Source organism: Homo sapiens, chromosome X (assembly GCF_000001405.40).
Source record: "Homo sapiens chromosome X, GRCh38.p14 Primary Assembly".
In the NCBI taxonomy this organism is placed as follows: Eukaryota; Metazoa; Chordata; class Mammalia; order Primates; family Hominidae; genus Homo; species Homo sapiens.
In genome coordinates this window covers 72,023,331-72,045,768 of record NC_000023.11, presented here as the reverse complement: position 1 = coordinate 72,045,768, position 22,438 = coordinate 72,023,331, and the positions used below count along the sequence as shown (strand labels likewise).

At 45.0% G+C, this 22,438-nt stretch overlaps 1 protein-coding gene and 1 pseudogene across 10 annotated transcripts in view; both read right to left on the bottom strand.

The window, feature by feature from the left end:
* NHSL2 (NHS like 2) overlaps positions 1–22,438 on the bottom strand; it is a 242,442-nt gene that overhangs the window by 107,518 nt on the left and 112,486 nt on the right. The window contains exon 1 of one of the 9 annotated variants that reach the window (NM_001438808.1): positions 18,070–18,253. The exons of the other annotated variants lie outside the window; for them this stretch is intronic. The gene's annotated coding sequence lies outside the window, so the exon portion shown is untranslated. Of the gene's footprint in view, positions 1–18,069; positions 18,254–22,438 lie in introns of those variants that run through there. 9 annotated transcript variants of the gene reach the window in all.
* Positions 795–1,360, bottom strand: RPS26P11 (ribosomal protein S26 pseudogene 11; annotated as a pseudogene). Its single transcript, NR_002309.1, has one exon. The product of NR_002309.1 is annotated as a ribosomal protein S26 pseudogene 11 (transcript).

Here is a 22,438-nt window from a genome sequence, read left to right as displayed (position 1 = left end):
TTAAAGCTCTGAGTGAATAAAAAGCTATTTATATGTCAGTCTCTGCCTGGCCAAGGCCTGTCTCCGTAAGCAGGGAAGGTCAAAGCCCTTCTTCCTGCTCAACTGGCCCTGCTCTGGAATCAGAGTGAATCCAGTCTGACCGGGGACTGGGGGGTTCCCTCCTCAGAAAGTGGTATAAGAGGGGGACTGCAAATAGTGTATGCTGCCCTGGGTGATGCCTCTGAGCCTGGAAGCAAGCTGAGCCCCAGAGGCCACGGGGGCCTCCCACCTCCCACCACCCCTCCACCCCTGCCACGAGGGGCTGGTTTTCCTGACTGGCCACTGTGTGTCGGGCCAACATCCTTGGTCTCTCCAGCAACCCCACCACAAGGGACCTGGCACCTAGTCCTGAGCCTCAGCTGGCAGCTGGGGAGCCACGCTGGTCTGTCTGGCTCCTGCCAGCCCCTCCTTCCCTCATTGCTGGGACTCTGCTAATCCCTCCCATTGTATGCCCAGGACTGCTATTTCACCCTGCTCCCCTGCACTCCCCAAGTACAGTCATCTGTAGCAGACCTGCCTTGAGTGTTTCCCACACCCCTGTGACTCTTGACATTGTATTCAGACTGCTTCTCATGCCCTGACTTGGGCTGTTATGTGTGCTAGATGCTGGGAAGGCTGCTGGGTCTTAGTTGTCTCCAGCTCCTCTTCCCAGTGTCAGCTTGGACCCTGATGGCCAGATAGCTCCACGTGGGGGCTTCTAGCATGCTATGCAGCCAGTGCCACATCAGTTAGAAAATTACCTTGGGCCACTCTTCTTTTTTTTTTTTTTTAAGTACAATTTCCATTTTATTTTTCTCCAGAGAATAGCCTGTCTTCAGTCTTTAAGAACTCAGCTCCTTACATGGGCTTTGGTGGGGGACGTGGGGCAGCACCCGCAGGTCTAAATCGGGGTGGGGGTGTTCGGTCCTTGCAGGCTTCACGAGATCGATTCCTGACTACTTTGCTGTGAATTGCACAACTCACACAGTAATGTAGCTTCACATACAGCTTGGGAAGCACATAGGCATCGAAGACGCTCACTTCAGAAATGTCCCTGACTGCTGCGGCCTCCACTATGTTTCGAATGACGAATTTCTTAATGGCCTTGTCTGTGGGCACGCATCGGACACAGTTAGTGCAGCGAATAGGCTGCACGTGGCCGCGGCCCTTTTTGGCATGACTGTTGTTCCTTCTTTTCTTTGTCATCTTGGAGGCATGGACCGGAGAGAGCGGGCCACTCTTCTTATGTAATCATTAGAGTTCTGTGGGATCCCAAACCATCCAGGAATGTAGAGGAATGGGGGCCACCTGACAAGGATACTGGTTGATGCTCATGCTGAAGTGGTTGTAAGTTCTTGTTTAGGAGCAGGACCTTCCCTGCCACTTGATTAGGGGGAAGAATTCCAAAAATTGGGTGGAATCTGGATTCAGTCAGCTGCCCTAAATCTGGTTGTCTCAAGTGAGCCCCAAGCAAGCAAGAATCCAAAAAGCCACAATGTCCTCCACTGTAGCCATATTGGCCCTGAACATCTGCTTCCACTTCTTTAGGTTCCTGATTTGCACTCGCTTTGCCCACTGTGCCAGTAATCCTGCCTTGGGTTCTAGTCTGCTGGGCTTAACATTGACCTGTGTTTCCTCAGCTCCATCCTCTTCTCTCCCGTGACCACAGCACTGGCCATGTCCCTCTGAAAATAACTCCCCACCGTCCTCTCAACTAGCCTGGTAGCTTTCAGGACAGGGACCAAGCTTCATTTATTTCTGTATCCCCAATATAACACAGGGAGTGTATGACATAAAGGGGAGTCCAATAAACTTTGGCAGAACAAACCCACACCTTCATGTTCTCACGTAGGACTCAGCCGGTTTCCTCGTGGCTTGGTCAGTTTATTTAGTACTTGCAGAATCTCCACTCCTGTCTAAGAAATAGCCTACCTAAAACTTGAATTTCCAGTTGCCTGGAGAGGGGGAAAAACAAGGGCTCAGGAAAGTAGAACCCAGGTAAAATGGAGGGTAAATATTTGCCAGAATAATCAACATGTGTGGCTCAAGAGGGACAGGGACCACATCGGCCAAGAGGAGGTCTCAGGGTATTTTGATGCATGGCAGCCCCTAAGAAAAGGGTCTGTACTAAAGAAGCTGTTTCTGAGGGAGCAAAGTATCATGGAAAGAGTACGGGTTTGAGGCTAGAGTGCTTGGGGTCGAATCCCGGCTCAGCCATTTACTGTGTGGCTTCAGGCAATTTCCTAAGGAAACTTTTCATTACCTCTCTTTCCTTGTGTGTAAAATGGGGATGGTAACATTGTCTACCTCATGGAGTTAGTACAAAGATTAAAACAATATGTAGAAAGTACCTGGCAACACAGGACATTCTCAATAAGCAATATATATTAATATTAATAATATCATTAATAACATTTAGCATGTGATTGATACTGATGTCCAAAGTTTAACCTAGTTCAATTTGCAGAGACCTCAAGCAGTGTCTTCAGGGTGAAATTATGTGTGTGCATGGGTTATATTTTCTAGGAGTTTCATTTTAGGGTAGTAAAGGAAGTGCTAGTAAGTTGGCTGTAGAAAGAGGTAGCAGGTCTGCAGGAGTTGAGACTCACAAAAGTCAGGAAACAGCGCATTGCAGCTGTGTGTGGCCATGCCCATCTTCCCCACATCAATTGTGGGAACCTCAGCGGCAGGACTGAGTCCCACTCCCCTCTCTCTTTGCCTCGCCACCCTACATACCTAGTCCAGGCCTGGCACAGAACAGATGTGTGGGGAGTGAGAGGGTAACCAAAAACTTCTGAACAGGAAAGCTACCTGACTTGGGTGTGGGAGAACCTTAAATTACATGTCTACACCTGGTTCATTCCTTCCTTCATTTATTTATTCAACAAAGCACCTACAATGCACCGGGCACACAATATAGGCCCACATCTTCCATCCAGGCCCAAGGCTCCTTGCTTACTCTACAAAGTCCTTGCAGCTCCTTTTTTTTTTTTTTTGGCTCAGGGATTGTCTTCTTGGCCAGACACTCTGCTTTTCAGCCTCTTCCCAAGAGTCTGCCTCTTAAATCCTCTGCCTCAAGCTCCTCCCATTACTGCCGACAATTAGGTGTGGTCCAGTTCTAACCCCCCTTCTAGCTCCAGGACACACCACCCTAGTCTAGCCCTTACACCCCAGGCAGCTACTGGCCTGAAAAAGAGTGGGGAGCTAGGACCAACTCACAAGCAAAGAAGACAGAGAACAACTGAGTCCTGTCTTCAGAGAGGAAGTGGACATGAGGCAGGGTAGGGCGTGAGGAAGCAGTGAGGCCAGAAACTTAGCTGGTGACTGGTTCATCCTAGACCCCAATGGGGGTGAACTGGGACTGCCAATCTCTCGCAGAGGTAGCACACCGGGCTGCCGGCCACTGCAGAGCCACATTCACTCAGAGCCCAAAGAGCAGAGCTTCAGGTTTTTGTTTCAAAAACAAGTTCACTCTGCCTGACCCTGTGGTTTGAACACAATTCTAGATATTTTCCTGCTGAAATCACAGGGACTAGGGATTGAAGAGAGAGATCGGGATAGAAAAGTAGAACATCTGGGGGCAGGGCCTGAGAGGGTGGCTTCATCCATGATGCCTGCAAGGCCCTTGTCCCCAGACAAGGCCTCCAGACACTTCCAGTCTCCACTGTAGGCCAGTGTATTCCTGCTTTGCAGAGAGAAAGCACTTGGGATCTGTAGCAGCTGTTTCTGTCAGGGCTGGCAGACCTTGTAGGGAAACCCAGACCTGAGGGTTGCGGGAAAACAGAAGGCTAGCAGCATCCAGCGTGGGTGGCTCCCGAGCGCACGACCTCACCTCACCGTTCTCATGTTCCTTTAGCTTTCATCCCACCCCAGCCATGGCCTGCAGAGAATTTATAGCTGGGGGCCAGAATCCAATGAGTAAATGAGCCATACATAAAACATTTGGACCCAGAAAGGGAAAGAGGGACATGCCATGAAACCCTCCCCTGATTGTTTTCTTCTCCAGTTTCTTAAACCTTATTTGTGCTGTCTTCTGTTCAAAAGCAGATTTTGAAAGTCAGGTGGCTGAACTTCTGCATCACCCAGGGTCTGGACTGTGTGCGGAGGAGAAGAGCAGGGTGCCTGGCCCTGGTTCCCTTCCCAGTTCCATTTCTTTCCAGCCCCCTCCACTCTCCTGAGGCTGCAGAGGAATGGCTGGAAGACATGTTTTGATGGTGTAGCTTACAAATGTGAAATCGTTGTCAATGTTGAAAAGCGACAATATTTTACATTTTAGAAATCTGGATTTCTGGCATCTCTTGTAAAACTGGAAAATGTAGCAACACTGGGCCAGTAATTCCATATGACAACTAGCAGCAGAGCTCAGCAGCAGCTGTTCCCTTAGACAGGGTGCAGACTCTCCAGTTTCCCACGGTCCGCACACATCCCTATGGTACTCTGAGCACGGAGGGCCACTGATAATGTTCGTGTGGATCTTTGTATGTGACCTGCTTCACTCACTTATGTTAACTTCCTGGGCCCTCTTAGCCTTCAGCTGAGATCCCTGATTTATATCAGCTACTTACTGTTCCCAAAACAGACTTCCATATTCGCCTTTATGTGTGCAATGCCATCCTACAGCCTACCTAGAAAACATCTATCCATCCTTTAAGACCCAACTGAAACCTCCCTTCCCCTGGAAGCCTCCCTTAACTCATGCAAGCAAAGTTAGGGACTTCCTCCTCTGAATTCTCACTACATCTAGCCCAACGCTCTGTCATCATTTATCCACTGCATTATAATTATGTGTTTATATGTCTGTTTCTGCTTCTAAATTATGTGTTTCTCAAGGGTAGGGACTGGGCATTCCTCATCTTTGAATCTCCAGCTCCTAGCGCAGGGCCTTTACACAGGGAACACTCGAATGCTTGTTGAGTAAGTGATACAATGACTGACTGACTCAAGGGATGAACAGGGAGTTATAAAGCACTTTTCTTTTATGAGGGCCAGAAGCAAGTTGGGTGGCATCAGAGCATTTCTAATTTCCCCAAAGTGACAGCTCTGTGGAGTCAATCTCATTTGGCACTGAGTGCTTGGCACAGAGCCTGGCACACTGCACGTGCTCAGGGGATGCTCCTGGAATAAAATAACGAAGCTCATCTGACCATGGAGAGTGACACTTGAACTTCAGTTTGTGGTTGGAGTGCTCCAGGGACCACCCACATCATTCTCGTTTAGAATGTGGCCTCCAGCACATCCTAGCTCTGGGATCCAGGGCAAGTAACTTAACCTCTCTGAGGTTCAATGTCCAAACTTGAAAAAAATGGAAATCACGATACTTCATTACAGAGTGTGAATGAGGATTAAACAAGGTACCTCTAGGTCAAGTGACATATTTCACACAGTTAATAAGTGTTAGGGCCGTTTGTTAGTCTGAGTTAGTAAGAGAGTATGTGTGTGTGAGAGAGTGGGAGGGTATGGTAAATGAAATGTGGAACTGTGATCCCAAAGCATGGATATGATCTGTGTTCCCATCCAGCGCTGATTCCTTGGGCTTACCCTGTCAAGGGAACATTAGGGCACATTCCCTAACAGGAGTGTCTCCTGTTACAGGATGGTCAACAAAACCCCAAAGAGAGAGATAAACTCAATTCCTCGATCAAAGGCTGCCTGTAGCCCCAAGCTGAACTCTGCCTCACACCAATCCCCATCCCATAGGTATGAATGTTGCACTTGCTGAACCTATTTTGGTGGCAGTTTCCTCATCTCTATAATGGAAATGATAATAACTACTTGGAAGGGTGGCTGGGACCATTAATGAGACGAGGTATCTAAAAGCACTTAACTTGGTGTTGGGGTACAGAGTAGAGCTCAATAAATGTTAGGCCCTTCCCCTTTCCTGGGGCCACAGGGCTGCAGGCTAACAAATGAAGAATGGCAGAGGGAGGGACACCAAGGGTATGTCATGTACTGCAGACTGTGGACACGAAAGTGACAGGGACTAAAGGACTTTTAACAGGCCACAATGAGATGAGATGAGGCCAAGGGATTGAGAATGAGTAAAGAAGATGCACACATGAGTCCTAAACGTATCATGGGGTCTCTGGCTGAGTCCTCAATACCCACAACTCCACACAGGACGCAGCTGACCTGGTGCAACGAGCTCCCATCCAACCAAAATGGGCCAGATTGTGGTTAATGGACCTTACCAAGATTTCCTACAGACACCACATCATCGGGATTATTGATTGGAAGTGTACGCCACTACACTTGACTGAACTTGAAGTTGTAGACTTTCTCAAATGCTTCAAGAGGCATTTGATAGCATCATTGTTTATAAACAGGGAAAAACTGGAGGAAACCTAAATGTCTAACAACTGGAAAATGGTTAAATAAATTGTGGTACAGCCATTACATGGAATAGTGTACAGCAGTTAAAATGACTAAACTCTAACTCGTGTATCAACATGGATAAATCTCAAAAGCATAATGTTAAAAAGAGAAAGTTCAGACACAAGCCGCAAATTCAGGTTGAGACTACTCTAATCCTCCCAACTATCCCTAAGAGTCGTGTTGCACAAGATCACTTTCCCTTTCCTAATTGAAATAAAGAGAGACAAGGAAGGAAAGGAAAGGAAAGGAAAGGAAAGGAAAGGAAAGGAAAGGAAAGGAAAGGAAAGGAAAGGAAAGGAAAGGAAAGGAAAAGAAAAGAGAAGGGAAGGAAAAGGGAAGGGAAGGAAAGGAAAGCAGAGGAGAAAAGGTCCTTCAACTAAGGGCTTCTTTGGGCAGCCAATCCACTTCTGCTTCTACAAACTGGTATCTTGGCCTCTGTATGTTTTTTTTCTCACAGCTAATCACCCTCTCTGCTTTCTTGGTTCTCTTACTTAGTCTTATCTCCTATGTTGTTATATACCTTGATATCTTTATCTCCTATATATACCATTATGTCCTATTTTATCTCTTATATTATTATATATCTTTATTCACACATTTCTGCTCTCTACTCATATCAAATGCCTTTACATGAATATCATGTCTAATCTCTATTGCTTGGCCAGTCTTCTTTTGGACCAATCATAACACTCTAAATTTGCATAAAAAGAGAAATTTGCAGAACATGTATGCACAGTATGATGCCATTTATATACAGCTTAAAACATGCAAAACAATATTATATACTGTTTATAGATGTATATGTATGTGGTAAAATATAAATACATGCATGGGAATTGGAAACAGACAGTTTGGGACACTGGCTACCTCTAGGCCAGGGTAGGGGCAGAGCTCACAACTGGATGTATAATGACCTGTTTCTTAGAAAAGATCTGAAGCAAATGTGGCAAAATGTGAAGATCTGACATTTTCTCCCTACTTTACTGTTTATAAAGAGTTTGAAAGAGTTTATAATTGACTGTTTATAAAGAGTTGAAAGAGTTTGTAATTTTGAAAATGTGGAGAAGAAGATGTTTCAGGCTGCCCTGCCTCAACCTTTTACCCATACCCCTTTGTTAAGGGCCTGCACAGCGGGCATAGGGATTGCGGCATCTCAGACCACAGCTCATTTAAACCTTTACACAACCGTGGGAAGGAGGTGCCACTTGCAACTTATTCTGCTGAGGAGAGACACTTGAGCCTAGATAAGCAAAGTGACTTGTCCAAAGACAAGAAATGTGACTAGGTCCCAGACTCCCAGACCCCACTCTCATACCTTGCACCTGGAAATGAGTCCTGTGCTGCCGAAACAAATAGGGATTCTTTGAGCTTTTGGTATTTTGGATTCTGTGTTAAAAAGGGGGTTGATCAACATTTCTCGACCCTCCACTCACTGGCAGAAGGCAACCCAGATCTGATGTCTCCCAGCCCTCCACCCAGTGACAGAAGGTGGCCTTTCTTTCCCTGGTGGCACTGGCAGAGATAGAATGGGAGCTCTGTTGGCACCAGGCTATCCAGAGACTTGGCCAGGTGAGGCACCCTCTGCCCTGCAACACGGTATCTCTCATCCCTTACCTAGAGGAACTCAGTGAGAGGCCTAGGAAAGAACCTTCTGCCAACACTGGGGGCACTGGTAGAAATCAAGTGACAGTTTCACAGGCACCTGGCCAGGGGAAGAGCTTTCTTCCCTCACAGGCCTGGTATCTTCCACCCCCACCTACCAGCATCAGTCCTGGGTAAGTACATTCTGCCCCTGTGTGAAGCATCAGTAGGGACCAAGTTAGGGAGCTGCAGCTGCACCAGATGTACAAAGGAGACCAGAATAGCACTGCAAGGACTCCAAAAACTAAATTGTCATTGGAACCACAGCCCACAAAAGTAGGCCAGATCCTACATGTTTTTTTTTCTTTTTTTTTTGAGACAGAGTCTCACTTTGTTGCTCAGGCTGGAGTGCAGTGGCGCCATCTCGGCTCACTGCAAGCTCCACCTCCCGGGTTCATGCCATTCTCCTGCCTCAGCCTCCCAAGTAGCTGGGACTACAGGCGCCCACCACCAAGGCCTGGCTAATTTTTTTTTGTATTTTTAGTAGAGACGGGGTTTCACCATGTTAGCCAGGATGGTCTTGATTTCCTGACCTTGTGATCTGCCTGCCTCAGCCTCCCAAAGTGCTGGGATTACAGGCGTGAGCCACTGTGCCCAGCCGATCCTACATGTTAAACCTAAACAGCCTGCCTACTGAAATAGGAGACTGAAATAAGAGCCTCCTAACATAATATCCAAAATGTCCAGGATAAAAATTTAAAAATCACTCATCATATCAAGAACCAGGAAAATCACAACATGAATGAGAAAAGACAGTCAACATATATCAACACCAAGATGTCAGATGTTGGAATTATTGGGCAAAGGTTTTAAACCATTCATCATAAAGTGCTTCAACAAATACTCTTGAAAAAAATAAAAATAGGAAAGCTCACCAAAGTAATAGAAGATATCAAAAAGAACACACTGGAAATTATAGAACTGAAAAATAAAATAACAGAATTAAAAACTCAGTGGATGGGCTCAACAGCAGAAAGAATAAGACAGAGGAAAGTATCAGTGAACTTCAAGATAGAGGAACAGAAATTACATGATATAAACATGAGAGAAAAAAAGGCTGAAAAGAAAACATGAGCAAAGCATTAGAGAGCTGTGGGACAGAAAAAAAAAGATCTAAGATTTGTATGATCAGAGCCTCAGAAGGAGAGGAGAAATAAAATGAGACTGAAAAGGTATTTGACTAATGAAAGGCTAAAAACTTCCCAAATTTGGCAAAAGACACAAACCTCCAGGTTCAAGAAGTTGAGTAAAACCAAGTAAGATAAACCCGAAGAAATTCATGACAAGTCATAATTAAACTTTCTTTATTAAAAATAAATAAAAACTTTTGAAAGCAGTCAGAGAGAAATAATGATTACTCACAGTGGAAAAGCAAGTCAACTGACAGTGGATTTCTCATCAGAAACCATGGAGGCCAGAAAAAAATGACACATTTTTCACATCCTGAAATAAAAGAGTTGTCAACCCAGAATCCTATATCCAGTGAAAATATCCTTCAGGAATGATGGGGAAATCAAAAAATTCTCAGAGAAGGAAAAATTAAGAAACTTTGTTACCAGGCCTACCCTGGAAACATGGCTAAAGGAAATCCTCTGTCACCAGGGACTGGTTTCATGGAAGACAATTTTTCCACAGATGGGAGTCAGGGGGATGGTTTTGGGATGAAACTGTTCCACCTCAGGTTATCAGGCATTAGTTAGGTTCTCATAAGGAGCATGCAGCTTAGATCCCTTGCATGCACAGTTCACAGTAGGGTCCATGCTCCTATGAGAATCTAATGCCCCACTGATCAGACAGGAGGCGGAGCTCAGGTGGTAATACTTCCTTGCCCTGCCGCTCACCTCCTGCTGTGCTGCCCGGTTCCAAACAGGCCACAGACTGGTATCGATCTATGGCCTGGGGGTTGGGGACCCCTGCTGTAAACATAAATGAAACAATAAAGAAGGAATCTTGGAATACCAGGAAGGAAGAAATAACACAGTAAGCAAAAATATGGGTAAATACAATAGATTTTTTCTTTTCCACTTGAATTTTCTAAGTTATATTTGATGGTTGAAGCAAATACTATCTTATGTGGTTCTAAATGTATGTAGAGGAAATATTTAAGATAATTATAAATAAGGGAGGCTAAAAGGGCATAAAGGTAGATAAAGTTTCTGCACTTCACTCGGGCAACAAGAGCGAAACTCCGTGTCAAAAAATAAAAATAAAAAAGCAAAAACTGAGAGAGCTGAAAGGACAAATTGATGAATCCACAATTATAGTTGGGTTCTTCAACACTCCACTTACAGTAATTGATAGACATACTAGACAGAAAATCATCAAAGAGAAGAAGAATTCAACAACACAATCAATCCGAGAGATGTAACTGACATATACAAAGAACCCTCCACCCAACGAGAGCAGAATACACATGGAACATTCACCAAGGCAAAAATCTCAATAAACTTAAAAATATTTGAAGTCACACTGAGTCTGTTCTCTTGACATAGAGAATCAAACTACAAGTCAATTTTTAAAATATAAAAGGAAAATCTCCAAACACCTGGAAATTAAACAACACACTTCTAAACAACCCATGAATCAAAGAGAAAGACTCAAAGGAAATTTTAAAAATATATTGGACTGGATGAAAATTAATTAAAATACAAATATCAAAATTTGTGGGATGCATTTAAAGCAATGCTGACAGGAAAATTTATAGCACCAAATCCTTACATTAGAAAAGAAGAAAGGCTTCATATCTATAAGAATGTATAATAATAAGAAGAGAAAGATAAACCCAAAGTAAGAAGAATAAAGGAAATAAAGAGAGCAGAAATCAATGAAATTGAAAATAAGAAAGCAATCGAGAAAAGTCCATGAAACAAAAGTTCATTTTCAAATAAATTGATAAAATTGATAAATGTCTAGTAAGAATAACAAAGATAAAAAGAGAGAAGACACAAATCACCAATGTCAGGAATGAAACAGGGTTATCAGTACAGATTCTGAAGCCTTTAAAAGGATATTATAAACAACTTTACACTCATAAATTCAACAACTTAGAAGAAATAGACCAATATCACAAAACCACAAACTACCAAAGTTCAATCAAGAAATAAATAATCTGAATGTGAAATCTTATAGTGATTTCAAAAACTGAATTTACAATTTTTAAAAGCTTCCAAAAAAGAATGTCCAGGCCCAGGTGCTTTCACTGGAGAATTCTACCAAACATTAAAGAAAAATTAACACCAATTTTACACAGTCTCTTACAGAAAATAGAAAAGGGGGGAACACTCCTCAGTTAATTTATGAGGTATTATACCCTGATACCTAACTAGACAAAAACGGTATACAAATAAAAACACTACAGGCCAATATAGTTCATGAATATAGGCACAAAAATGTTTTAAAAACATTAGCAAATAGAATTCAGCAACATATAAAAAGAATTATACACCATGACCAAGTGGGTATTTTACTCTAGTGGAGGTTTATTCCAAGAATGCAAGGCTTACCCAATATTTGAAAAATCAATGTAATCTACTACATCAACAGGCTAAAGAAGAATAACCATATAATCCAATCAATGGATTCAGCAAATCATTTGGCAAAATCCAACACCCATACATGATAGAAACTCTTGGAAAACTAGGAAGAGTGGGGGAACTTCCTCAACGTGGTAAAGAACATCTATTAAAGAACAAAACAAAACAAAAAACAAAAACAAAACCCTACAGCTAACATTAAACTTAATGGTGGAAGACTGTTTTCTCCTTGAAATTAGGAAGAAGACAAGGATGTCTACTTTCACCATTCTTATTCAACATAATACTGGAAGCTCTAGCTGGTGCAATAGGCTAGAAAAAGAAAGAAAAGGCATACAAATTGGAAAGGAAGGAATAAAACTGTCCCTATTTGCAGACGACATAATTATATATATATAGAAAATCCCAAGCAATCTACACAAAAACTCTTAGAACTAATAAATGACTTCAGCAAGGTTGCACTATAAAAGATCAACACAGAAAAGACCACTGCATTTCTATATATTAGCACTAACCAGGTGGGAACCAAATTAAAAACACATAATACCATTTAAAGTTGTTCCAAAGAAAATAAAACACTTATGTGTAAAACTTGTATAGGATATCTATGCTGAATATGACTAAATGCTGGTGAAATAAATGAAAGAAGGCCTAAATAAAGGACAGACATACTATGTTCGTGGATTGGAAGACTCAACGTAGTAAAGATGTCAATTCAGAGGCCGGGCACGGTGGCTCACGCCTGTAATCCCAGCACTTTGGGACCCAAAGGTGGGTGGATCACAAGGTCAAGAGAGCAAGGCAATCCTGGCCAACATGGTGAAACCCCATCTCTACTAAAAATACAAAAATTAGCTGGGCGTGGTGGCGTGCGCCTGTAGCCCCAGCTACCTGGAAGGCTGACGGAGGAGAATCACTTGAACCCGGGAGTCGGAGGTTGCAGTGAGCCAAGATTGCGCCACTGCACTCCAGCCTGGTGACAGACCGAGACTTTGTCTCCCAAAAAAAAAAAAAAAAAAAAGTCAATTCTTCCCAAATTGATTTATAGGCTTCATACAATTCCTATTAAAATCCCACAACGTTTTTCTTTTTATAGATATAGACAACTATATTCTAAAATTTACGTGGAAAGGCACTAGGCCCTAAAACAGCTAAAACAATCTTGAAAAAGGAGAATAATTGGAGGAATTACTCAGTGCTAAAGCCTACTATAGAGCTACACTCATCAACACTGTGTGGTATTGGTGGAGAGATAGATAAACAGATAAATGGAACATAACAGATAATCCAGAAATAGACCCACAAAATATGCCCAACTGATTGATTAATTTTATTATTTATTTTTAAGAGCAGAGTCTTGCTCTGTCGCCCAGGCTGGAGTGCAGTGGTGTGATCTCAGCTCACTGCAACGTCTGACACCACGGCTCATGCAATTCTCCTGCCTCAGCCTCCCGAGGAGCTGGGACTACAGGTGAGCACCACCACGCCAGGATAATTTTTGTATTTTTAGTAGAGATGAGGTTTCACCATGTTGGCCAGGCTGGTCTCGAACTCCTGACCTCAAGTGATCTGCCCACCTTTGTCTCTCAAAGTGCTGGGATTACAGGTGTGAGCCACCATGCCCGGCCTACATAACATTCTTGAAATTAAAAAAGTCATATAGATGAAGAATAGGTTCTTGCTTACCAGGGGTTAGCTGATGAGGGGAGTGGGTAGTAGATGGGTACAAATACCAAGAGGTAGCATGAGGAAGATCTTTGTGGTGATGCAACAGTTCTGCATCTCCTTTTTATTATTATTATTACCATTTTGAGACTGAGTCTCGCTCTTTCGCCCAGGCTGGAGTGCAGTGGCATGATCTCAGCTCACTGCAACCTCCGCCTCCCGGGTTCAAGCAATTCTCCCTGCCTTAGCCTCCCGAATAGCTGGGATTACAGGTCCCTGCCACAACGCCCAGCTAATTTTTATATTTTTTTGTAGAGATGGGGTTTCGCCATGTTGTCCAAGCTGGTCTTGAACTCCTGACCTCAGGTGATCCGCCCAACTTGGCCTCCCAAAGTGTTGGGATTACAGGCATGAACCACCGCGCCTGGCTTATTTTTTTTTTTTTTTTTTACTTCAGTGGCCAGTTACTAGAAGTTCTGCATCCCAATTGTGATGGTTATACAAATCTATACATGTGATAAAATTGTTTGAAATGATATACACACTCATATACAGAGTACATGACATGTAAAACGTGAAACCTGAATACGCTCTGCGGATTGTACCAACATCACTTTCCCAGTTGTGTAAGATGTCAACATTGTAAAACTGAGTAAAGGGTCACCAGATCCACCTTGTAAATTTTTTTGCAACTTCCCTTGAGTCTAAAATTGCAAAATAAAAAGCTTTTAAAAAGGGTTAATGTGTTCACTTGATATATTTATTTCCTAACATGTCAGAACTGGTTTTTTTTTTTTTTTTTTCCAAGCGAGGTCTTAAGCCAGTGTGTTGGAAAGGAGCGAGAAAGCAGGAAAGGGGCAAACCAGCATTTGCTGAGAACCAGCTCTGGGCCAGACAATTCACATACATGATCTAATTTAATTCTCATGACAACACTGACAAGGTTGGCACTTTAATCCCATCTCACAGATGAAAATGAGTCCTAGAGAGGTTCAAAGCTTGTCCAAGCTAGTTGTTAATAATTCTTAATTGAAGCTAATAATTCCTAATTAAAGCTAATAATTAGTAAGTGCTTATGTGTGCTAAGTGCTACACATGAAATAGCTCATTTAATACTCACAATAGCTGTGTAAGGTAGGTACTACAATTACTCTCATTCTATAGATATGGGACCTGAGGCTCAGAGAGGTTAAGTGACCTGCCCAAGATCACACAGCATGGAAGAGGTGGAACCAGGATCCAAAACAGGTGTGTAGGAGTCTGATGCTCTTTTCCTCGGCCCCAAGACACCTCCCAAAGCAAAGTGGAATAAGAGATGTATTTCTGATTCAAAGGCAGAAATGAGCCCTCCTTGGTGCCCTCAATTAAGCCCCATGCAGTCTCCTACACAGACCCTAGAACTCTTTATTGCACATATACCTTCACACGTCCGCCTCTCCTTCCGAGTGTTAAATTATGTAAGCTCCTTGAGGGATAGAACCATGGTTTACTCATGTTCGTGACCTTAGAGCTTGCCACAAGGTAGGGACACAACCGATGTCTGCTGCATAAAAGAAGCTGGAGATCACTTTAAATCCTATGAACGATTCTCTCCTCACTAAGGGGGCTGGAACTGGGAGTATTTGGGAGCCCACTCCTACCTGCATTGGGTAGTTGGGTGGACTTGGCTCTCTTTAATCCTTTGTTACAACTGGTGATGTGCTGGAGCCAGTCTGCTTGGCTCACCAGAGCCAATTGTTAAATTTTCATAATTTTGTGAGCCAGTTGTTAAACTGTTGGTAGCTCGAAATTAGCCATAGCAGGAATATTTATACCACAAAATTGGCAAAAGCTACAAAGCAGGGCACCCCATTACACACACCAGAACTGGTTGTTAAACATTTACCAGCATGCCACTGATCACAAACATTTGATTGCAGCACTTGGTGCGTGTAAATACCAAATGGAAGGGGCAAAAGTAAGCCTTCTGGGGTGCTGCGAATGTTCTATATTTTGATCTGGGTGGTGGTTACACACAGATGTATACACACACACACACACACATATACATATACAACTTCATTGAAATGTACATTTACAGTGTGCTTTATGCAATTTACTGTATATATGCTTTCCTCAGTAAAAAAGAACTCCCAGACTGTGCACAAAGCTGTGATTGATTCTGAGTGCCCCCTGCGGAGACCCCACTTATCAGAATGCACAGATGAACCCCAGTGGTATTGATCAGTGTCACCAATAACACAGCCCAGTCCAGTGCATTTTTTATTGCACAGGACGGGGCAAAGGTGAGCCAAACAGCTGCTGGCAGCAGGAATCCAGTTCCCTTCATGTCTTTTCTTCGTCATAGCTACTGTCATCTCTCACCTCTGTTATTCCTGGCTCTGTGGCTAGGGTCAGTGCTGTTTGCTGACAGGCAGCATGACTCATTATTCGGCAGATCATTTTTCTGATTAAGTGGGGAGATGGATGGATATTTTCCCATACTTGGGCAGAAACCTCATTCCCTTGGATTCCTTTCCTGAAATTACTCAGCTTTACATTTAAGGGGTGGTTTTCTCCACTTTTTTTTTCTTTAATAGTACACATAACGTTTAGCTCTCCTCAAACAATCAGACTTGCAGAGAAAATGGAGAGGAAAACAAAGTGATTCCCAAAAATGCACCCTTACAAGGGAGAGGGAACAATCTTTCAAGGGCTTCTTTCATGAAGTCACCCTAGATGGGAAGGCCCAGCTGCTGGCAAGCATTCAACTTTCCTGACATAAGCCCCTGACATTTTCTCCGCCTCCCCTCCACCAGCCACCCTTCTGCACCACTTGCTTGGAGTAGCTGCTTTGTTCTGCAAAGGAATGACAGGAGCTCTGAGGGCTTGCAGCCAGAGCCCAGCAATCCAAGAAGTGGGCAGAGCATGTGCGAGGGCAGTAGGCCTACCTGCAGGAGTGGGCAGTTGAGCTTGGAGGTATCCCTTCCTGAGGAGGCAGGAGCAGCCACAGTGGGATTGGAAGGGTGGACAAGGATAAGTTAGCAAAGTGCTACTGTCATAGCCTCAGGACATCATGGCCTATTCCCTATCCCTTTTCCAGGCTCACAAATAACCCTTTAGATAAGCCCAGTTCAGTCGCAAACACCCAGTGCAGTGGTAGCTGGGCTATGAGGATTTGTTTTTAAGTAGGGTGGTGGCAGCCCCGAGCAGGCCAATTCAGCCCTCTCAGCTGAAGTCATGAAGCTCACCCATTGGCTCCACCACTCCCATTTCTGCTTGAGCAGGGTGAGAGCAGAGTACACAGGCGCTGGCATTGGTCTCACTGCCCTTCCTCTGTATGCATTAGGTCCTTGTGTGAGCTGCCAGTTATGACTCCAGTCCTGAACCCCAACCCTACTTGGACAGGGTTAGACTCTGCCTTGCTTTTGCCGGGCCTTTTCTCCTGGGGGATACTTCCTATATCATACACACATACATGCTTGTCTATGCCATGCCTAAGCTTTCCACACCCAAAGGACCACCCAAGAGCCAGTATTCCCAACCCTATCCCTTCCCCAACAGCCAGGTGGCTGAGATCCCAGCATGCCTCCTGCCCAAGTTATGACAACTTACTTAAATCACAAAGACCAAAGTCCTTAGATGTTCTTGGCAAATCCAAACAACGCTTGGTCCACATATGATGCTGAGGACCCAACCAGGGGCCCAGCTCTACCGACAATGTCCAAAGAAGGCCTGGGCCACCCCTTCTGTCAGGGAGGGGTTAGGCTGAACTTGTGGATCCCTGTTGTTTCCTGACCTTCAAAATCCTTCCCAGTGGCTGAGGTAATGTTTGGGACCCAGGCCCAAATCTCTTTCAAGAGAGAGTGTTGTCAAATGAGATGTACCCACTCTAGTGCCAACAATGTCAGCACCTATCATGACCTTATCATGTCACCTCAGTACACTAGAAGCTAGTGCCCCTTCCTCTCTCAAATCAGCTGAGGGGTGAGGGAAAGGGAGGAGTAGAGATCTGGGGAAGGAGGCCAGGCGGAAGGACCTGCTGCCATATTGGATTGCTGGTTCCCTGACACCAGTGACGGGCACCAATAGGCATTTAACTGATGCTTGCTGATTAAATACACAAATAAATGAATGAATTATTCCTAAAATAATAGGGGAAAACATCCTTGAGCTCACAGAAATCTCGAGCTCTCCTTGAATCTCTATCACAAACCCAGTTTGCCTTCTCTACCTCTTCCTTTGTGCTTCCCCCTTTCAGCTGAGTAGCATTAAGTCATTTTCCCTGAAGTGTAAACTGAAGTCCTTAAAAGCTAAAAGCCTTGCTTGTAGTCATCCAACAAAGTTGAAAAAAGTAAGCCCAAGAAGACCTTGAGTGGCTCCTGGCCCACTGCACATGCAGCTGGAGCAGACTGAATCCCATTCACCTTAGCTGAGTGGTTCCATGCCACCAGAGTCACAGATGGCTGGGGCTGGACATGTTGCCATCTGCTTTTCTCATAGGGTTCCTAGCACCCTCTGGCCTCCATTCCTCTAGCAGCAGCAGTGGCAGCAGCAGCAGCAGCGGCAGCAGCAGCAGCAGCAAACTCAACACCTCACACTCCTAAACTCCCACCCATCATGGGTTTGGTAGGCAACTCACGAGGGTGGAGGTAGGCCAGGCTGCATGGACCAAGCCTCCTTCTGACCCTTAATACAAAACCCCTAGTGGAGTCACCAAAGCCCACCCATCTCCTTCCTGCCTCGGTTACCAAGGTTCTCGGAGGTCTTGAGAGTTCCCTTCCGCCTCCCACAGGGTCTGTGTTGGACACTCCCCAGACTTCCCTGACAGGGTGAAGGTTAAAATGTCCAGACCACGTACCTACTCATTCCAGCCACTTGTCCAGCTGTCCTCCAAACTGTGTGCTCAGGAGCTGAAGGAGGGACCAGGTGAGAGGACGAGGCTGCTGGGGAAAGCCCTGGGCTCTGGAACCTCCTGGCCAAGTTCACCAAATTTCCAGACGAAGGACGGAGGAGAGACGAGCAAATGAGAGAAAGGAAAGGAGGCAGGACCAAAGCTAACCCCTTCTTTTTTCTTCCTAAACTCAATCCAGATTCGCCTTCTGAGGGCTGCTTGAAACTGATCCCCGCGGCTCTGACTCGTCCTTTCTTAAAGACATAGTCTCCGCTTTGGAGGTGGGGAGTGAGGAAAACCCCACCTAGCCAAAAGATGTCCAGGAGCAAAAGATGGGGGGAAGGCAACATAAGCACGAAACTCAAAATGCCCCATGCCCCAACTCCTGATCCAGACTCCAAGCTGGAGCCTTACTGGAAGTTCCTTCAGAGCAGCTGACTCAAGATCTCTGCTGGATATCATGAGAGACCCTGTCAGAGCCACAGGGCTGTAGTGGGAAGTGGGCCAGTTTCCTGGCACTGGCAGATTAGGGACCAAAGCTGAAGTCTCAGGGTGTGTAGGGAAGGGAGCACTGGACAGGGAATCCTGTCTCTTCTGCTACTCCCTGTGGCACCATAGGCCAACCACTTTCCTCTTCTCCTCTCAAACACAGTTTCCCTTCTTCACACATTGAAAAGATCATCACTGCAGCCCTGCCCAGCTCCCAAGTTGCTGAAGTCTCCTCTTATAACAAAAGGTAGCACACTTGGGGAACTGGTGTCTGACCCTGGCATGCTGTACTGCTCTGGCTGGCAGATATTTACAGAGACCAGAGGTGGGACTTTCTGCTGGGTTGGGTGATGGTGGAATCCGGATGTGATCTTATGAGTGGGTAGATGGGGAGTCATTTTGTATGTGTGCCAGGGGAGGAGGTGGAACAGACTGTCTCTCGTGTTTCTTACAAGGTGTTAACAACTTATCAGGATCTGCCATTTGAGGGTGCAGAAAGAGGCTGTGAGTACATCCTTACAACCTTATCTCGCCCTCACCTCCATATTTCCCATTTCCTTCTGCAGGAAAACCACCTAGGCCATTGGCCTGGCAGGGCCTGGGACAGCCTCTGGCTGTGGTGCCTTCCCCATAGCTCTTTCTTGCTGCAGGCTCCAGCTCCCACTGTTTCCTAAAGCTTAAAGCTGCCCACCTCCTCCCCATGCCTGGGCTTCTGTTCTTTTTCATCCTGTCTGCAGAGCAGGGCATGATCTCTGAGTTTCTTCTTCCTTCCTTGTTGTCCCCAAAGAGCAGCACACAGGCCCTTTTCCTTCTGAGGCCATGGTTCTCAGCTTTGTCTCCACTTTAGAATCTCCTGAGGAGCTGCAGAAAAAATACTCCAACTCCATCCCCATCCCTAGAGTCAGATTCCAATAGTCTGGGATGAGGCCTGGGCAGCGCCATTTCAAAAGCTCCCCAGGTGATATTAATGTGCAGCCACAGATGGGAACATTGGATTTAAAGGTTCCTGCTGTCTATACATCAGGGAATCGGGCAGGGGAGACCCTGATAACAGACGGGGAAGGGACAAAGGGTTAATAGACGTCAAAGGTCTTCCAGGAGCCCTGAGTCTCCTTCATGCATTACTCTCTTAGGAGAAAATAATGGCACTGGTTCACACCACAGCTCAAGGCACAGTGCCAAGTGCTTTATGTGTATTACTTCACTGAATCCTCAGGACCACCTTAGGAGATATTATCAGTAACTTCATTTTACATTGAGGAAACTGAGGCATCAAGAGGTTAAGCAATGGGTCCAAGAGTACACAAACAGCAAGTGGCATAGCTGGGATTTGAACTCAGGCATGCAGCTGGCCATCAACCACTATGCCCTGGCTGCCAAGCATCAAACCGAGTACTGCTCTAAGACGTTCCCTTCATACCTGGAAGAGCCCTCATTCCACACCCCAGGTCTGGAAATGTGCACTGGGGCTGAAAAAAATGGTGTCACTTAGTTTCCACTCAGGTGTCCTTTGCCCTAAATGGGTCATTTGTTTTTGAGGGAACTCCATTTAAGGGCTGGCAGTCACCTTCCAGAGGAGACAGAGAGCTGCAGTGGTTACAAAATGGACTCTGGTCGGACAGACCTGGATGTGTGTCCCAGCTCCGCACTTACATGCTGGTGACTGTAGACAAGGCTTCCCTCCTGTCTAGCGCTGGTCTCCTGTGTGTCAAGTGGGATAATCACACCGAGTTCCTGGAGTTGGGAGGGTGAGGTGAGAGTGCATAGGTGAGGTGCCTGGTACAGAGCCTGGCCAAGCCTCCAGCCCACCCTCTATCAGGAGTGCCTTCTAGGCCATGGCGTGGACCCCTTTGTCATGCCTTTGGCAGTCTGGCACGGCTTAGGGACCCTTTCTAGGAAAAAAATAGGTGGGAGATCTTTGGGGGTAGAAAATAGTAGCTATTATTTTGTGTTTTTAAAGTTTTATTTTATTTTTCATTGACAAATAATTGTATATATTTATAGGGTACATTGTGAGGTTTTGATACATGTATACATTGTGGAATGGTCAAATCAGGGAAATTAGTATATCCATGACCTCAAATAGGTATCATTATGATCATTTATCACACATTTATTATGTGTGAGAATATTTAAAATCTAAGACATTGGTCAATAGGCACTAAGTTACAGTTAGAGAGGAGGAAAAAGTTTTGGTGTCCTATTGCACAACATAGGCAACTATAGTTAATAACAATGTATTGCATATTTCAAAAAATGCTTCTAAATGTATTAGATAAATTACCTAGGATTATAAAGGAAACTGATTACTGTATCTTGAGATGCAATTTACAATATAGTCATATGTGCTTCTTGATTAACACCTTCAATATAACACGATCAAGCAGTGGGTCTAATGACTATTATCATTTTGAAGTGGTGATGAGCATAGATGATTTTCTGAGATCCCTGCCACAACCGTAATGTGATATGAAAATAGCTGTGATTCTAGTAGTGACAGTCACAGATGCTGCTAATAGCACTGTGGCTTACTGCCCCAGAAACAGCTTTGTGTGCTCTTTTGTTCTTTAGCTATGTGATCTAGACCACCCACTCAGCCTCTCTGTGCCCGTCCTCATCTGTGAAATGAAGGTACCTGTGAGGATGAAATGAGTTAATGAACCAGCAAAAATGGCTCAAACACCATGCAGAGTACTGTGCCATTTGTATTCTTTTGGGATCTGGGATCTTCAAATGTCTCCTTTAAAATACTGCCAAGGCCACATCTTCCTAGGTCAAGAAGTAAGCCCGTGTTTCAAGGACTGCCAACTCTTGGGCTTCACCTGAGGAGAAGTCCCCAGGGCCTCTCCTGGTAGCCCCATTTGTAGCCTCAGTCGCTGTCCTTACCTCACCACCAAACCATTATAGTTACAAGCCCTACCATAGATCTCAGCTTCCTGTGTAAGAGTTCAGAATTTTCCTACAAACTTCTAACAAATTAAAGACTGATTTGGAAACCCACAGCGCTCCCTAATTTGTTATAGTTGTTAGGGGTCAGGGAGGGGTTTAGGGAGCATCAGAGCCATCTCTTTACTGTGCAGATGTGGCAACTGAAACAGAAAGAGACCCTAAGGTCACATGGAAGCTTGTTGGCAGTGTTAGGCCTGGGACCCAAGATTCCTCTCCCTCAGGCCTCCTAGGGCACAGTCAAATCTCCATCCTCTTTGGTTCCTCCTCCTTCATCCTCACCATCTCATCAGTTGACAGTTCCCGTCGGTTCCATTTCCTCCTAAATATGTCACCAATCTGTCAGCTCCTGCCTTGGCTCAGGCCCTCTCCCACTCTACTCCTACTGGCACTGCTGCCTCGGCCTCCCCACCAGCCTCCCTGCCTCCAGTCTCAACCTCCAATAGAACCTTCCTAATCCATGCTTCTCTTCCTGTTGCATGCCAAGAATGTCAAGAGCTCAGAGGAAGCTTGCAGTCCCTGAGTCCAAGCTCCTCACTCACCACCCCACTCCACATCCTGCCATGTCATAGAGGAGGAAACTGAGGCTGAGCCAGGGGAATGGAGCTAGCCAAGTCTGATAGTGAACAAGAGGTAGAGCTGAAACCAAAACTCAGGTCAAAGGGTCATGGAATTTGAGGGCTAGAAAGCTTAGTTTAGTGCTATTCCCATTACATCACCCACCTCTGAGAATCACACCCCCAGATCCTATTGTTTCAGGTAACAACTGGAAATATTGTTTTCATCAGGACCATAATTGCCACTTCCCTTTCTAGGCACTCATTTTGGAAAAAGCAGACAATACTCCATCTCCTTCTCCCATTTCTCCCCAAGGTTCTTGAAGCAGGCCTCCAGCATCCGC